Source organism: Homo sapiens, chromosome 7, assembly GCF_000001405.40.
Source record: "Homo sapiens chromosome 7, GRCh38.p14 Primary Assembly".
NCBI lineage: Eukaryota > Metazoa > Chordata > Mammalia > Primates > Hominidae > Homo > Homo sapiens.
In genome coordinates, this window is record NC_000007.14 from 49,486,607 (window position 1) to 49,490,542 (window position 3,936).

At 33.5% G+C, this 3,936-nt stretch overlaps 1 annotated feature.

Annotated features, from left to right (window-relative positions):
- Positions 283–784: an enhancer, noted in NCBI's record as "NANOG hESC enhancer chr7:49526485-49526986 (GRCh37/hg19 assembly coordinates)". NCBI's record gives its function as "activates a minimal SCP1, AML or CMV promoter by ChIP-STARR-seq in naive H9 embryonic stem cells {active_cell/tissue: H9 hESC(naive)}" and the evidence as "EXISTENCE:reporter gene assay evidence [ECO:0000049][PMID:30033119]".

The window sequence follows — 3,936 nt, forward strand, 5'->3', positions numbered from 1 at the left end:
TAAGGAGGTGGAACATAGCCCCAGATTTCAGTCACCTACCCACAGCAGGGCGCACCTGCCACTCATGTTATGATTGGTTGAATTTTACATTTCTTTAGCTCTTACGAAGTAGAAATGTTTTTCATCCTGAGTCTAAAGATTTTTGAACACAGTGAAACCTATCATTCTTCTATATTCTCAGGGCTACATGATATCTGATTGAATTTTGGATAGCCCATGACTGTCCTCTCACAGTCACTATATATAAGTTTATTCTATTGACAACATCTTAACAGTGATGACATAAGGGAGAGGACACATTAGTGACACTGAGGACTAATTTTCTTAAAAGTCAGTAAAGATTCTAGTGTATACTATCTTTACAATGGCTCAAGCTTTAATGTTACACAAATGGTTAATTTTTTTTTTCCAAGAGGTAAAACAGCATCCCTCCCAGGATATATTAAAGTAGGGAACAGTGAACAGACGTAATCCTTCCTTTAAGGAGAGCTTTGCTACAGAAACAAGGCAAAGGATATCAGCACTTAAAAGCAGGAAACAGGAAAGTCTCTCTTCCCTGCCCACTGATTTGCATTTCAACATCTGCCCCTCAGGTGGACAGCTGAGGGAAGTAAAACAACGTATTCCCAGGGATAAAAAGCATTTGAATAGGAAATGGATTCCAGCTCCTGGCATTGAAATCAATTTCTCCTTTGTTCTAATTTCTCCATCTAGGATAAGCATGATTTTATGATTTTAGTGGAGAAAAACAAACTGTGAAATATTTTAAAGAGGTTTATTGTGAGCCAATAGGAGTCACTGTGGCCCAGGGATACACAGCCTCAAGAGGTCCTAAAAAGATGTGCCCAATGCAGTCAGGTTACAGTTTGGATTTATACATTTCAGGCAGACAAACTTGCAGGTAAAATCATAAATCAATACATGGAAGGCATACATTTGTTCAGCCCAAGAAGGTGGAACATGTTCAAGTGAGAGCTTGCAAGTCATAGGTAGGCTTTAGGGATTCTTTACTTGACAATTGCTTGAAAGAGTTAGGCTTTGTCTAAAACACGTGAAGTCAGTGGAAACGAATGCTTGAGTTAAGATAAGGGTGTCTGCTACCTGTCATGCAATGCCATACCTGAGTCAGGGTGGAAAGTAAGCCACATTATACTGGGTTATAAAAAACAAAACAAAACAAAAACGAACAGGATTTTATGGTTTGGAGGGCATGACTTAACCCTTGCCTTGCATGATCTTAGGTCTTGTTTATAATTTGGTATCTTATTGCCAGAAAGAGTCTGTTTTGTCAGCCTTATCATCTCTATGTTAACACTAATGCTGCTCGATTGAGCCTAAACTCCAGAGAGAGGGAGTTTAATGAGGCGCATTCAACCTCCCTTCTTGTCACGGCCAAAAAGTCAGATTTTCAGGTTTCTCTAGGGTCCCCTTGACCAAGAGGGGGGTCTGTTCTGTCTGTTGAGGGGTTTAGGAATTTATTTTTAGTTTACAATGTGGTTTGTTTCTAAGAACTCTTTCATTTTTATTTGCTTATGACAATAAAGTTACGGTTCAATAAAATCTAATCTAATTTTATTGTTTGAAGAGAAAATGACTGTGGTACATGTTTGTGTTTCAAAATGAATATCTATAAATTCTACAGTATAACTACAGTGAACAGGCTGTTATAGAAACTGACTAATCATGAGATTTTTAATTTAAAAAAAACCTGTTGCTTTGATTGACTGTTTAGGTCAGTTCTCCAGCACTAGACCTCCTATGCTCATTAAGGGAACTATTAATACATACAATTTTCACTCTCTCACTTATAATTTATCTCCCTGAGAATTTCTTTAATGAGCTTTGTTGTACATTTGGGAGTCTGTTTTTGTTTTTTTGTTTGTTTATTTGTTTTTTCCAATTGCCTAGACGATTCTGCTGTACACATAGTTTAGGGCACAATTAGCACCAACGATACCATTGACAAGCAGATATGGTGAATATAAGAAATGAAGAAAATATTGAGAGTGAAGGGGCCCAGAATATGCCACAGTGGCATAAAGATTATGTTAAGCTGACGATATTTGAGAATCAACAGCTGTAGGAAGAGGCTTTTTCTGAAGTCCCCTTATCTCCCTAAAAGCAAAGCCTCCACAAATAATTCAACTGTCACAAATCCCCTCCCTGGGGATTTCACAGCCAGGAAAGACTCAGTACCCTTTTATCAACAAAGAGAAGTCCACACCTAAGTCAGCATTCAGATAAGAAATCACCTAAACTGACATTGTCATAAAATTATCATATTTCTAATCTAATCTTCTAAGGGCCCATTTATTTTTCCCAAAAGCCATTTTTTTTTCTCCCAGAAGTGCCACTCTGCCCCTCCACAATCCTTACTTAAATGGTGTATGCCCCATATTCTAACCACCTCCTCAGAATCACATTTCTTTGTGAACTCCCATGCACACATATGTAATTAAATATCTTTTTTTGTTCTCTTGTTAATCAGTCTTCTGAAAGTTTAATTTGCAAGCCCCCAAACTGAAATAAGAAGGTAGACGAAAAGTTTCTCCTCCTAGAAAAAGTGTCAAACGTGACCAAGTATAACAGGCTATAGAAGAGACCTAAGGCTAGGAGAGCTACTCTAACTTGTCAAAAGTCATTTAGACTTACGGTCTATAAATTTTCCTCTCTATATCATAAAATAACATTGAAAAAATGACATACTCATTATATATTTTTTAGAAATTTAATTTTTTTAAAAAATTAAATCTTCATGCCTTTAAAAACTTGCAAAAATGCAATGACTGGCATATTAGAATTGCCAATATTGAAAATAAAATAATCACATATATCATTTAAATATAACAAATGGAACTTAAATTCCATAGTATATGACTACCCACACATCACCCGTCTAAAATTTATTTGAAAAAGTTATTTTTCTATGCAATGAATTTAAATCTTTTGTTTTTGTTTTTATTCTACACAACTTTTTTATTCTACATCTACCACATTTCAATGTAATATATTTTGGTCCTGAAAGTTTATTTTATGTTATCATCCTTTTATCTGAAAAATTACATATATAAATAGAAATTTCAATTTTTAAAGACCTTGAGGCACTAAATAATAAGCAAATCTTCTGGATTGATATATATTTTCAATTATTACAGGCTCACAATTGTTGAAACAATGTAAATATATTCAAAATAGGTTTTAAAAGTAAAATTACTTTGTAAATATATTCCTCAGTGAGATGTATAAAGATATTTTCAACTCAATCAGTTCAGATTAATTAAAAATTTTTTACATATATAAACAAATGGGAATAGAAGGGGATTTTTTGTAGCAATAATATTTAATTATTTGAACTCATTCTTAAAATGTTACATTGTTAAATATTATCAAAACTTTCAGCTGTCAATTTAATAAGGTCTCACTTAGTTTTGTTGAAAATAAAAAATGGAGACAAATTACATTCTATCGTAAAAGGATCAGCGGCCCACAATTAGTGTCTTCCAATTTCTCAATTTCTGGGCAGTACCAAAGAGACTTTAATACAAAATTATCACATGACTACTAATATTTATGTTATTCTATTACTTAGAAGCATATTGATTAACATGATATAACATTAAACTATCACTAAATACAATACAAATTTTTAAAAAAGTTTTTCACGGTTAAAAACATTTATGTGCGTGCTTTAAGACCATCAGGAAAGATGTGTCATTGCACATTGTAATTGCTTATTGTACCCAACGAGACCTCACATCATTGGGATCTGCAGATGTTACAATGGTAGTGTGTTATATATCTAATAAGTTTTGTAGAATACAAAATCAGCTAAAAATAAATTATATTTCTATATACTGTCAATGAATGTTTGGCATTCAAAATTAAGAAAAAATTCAACTATTATAGCACAAAAAAGATTTAGGTATAAATGTAACG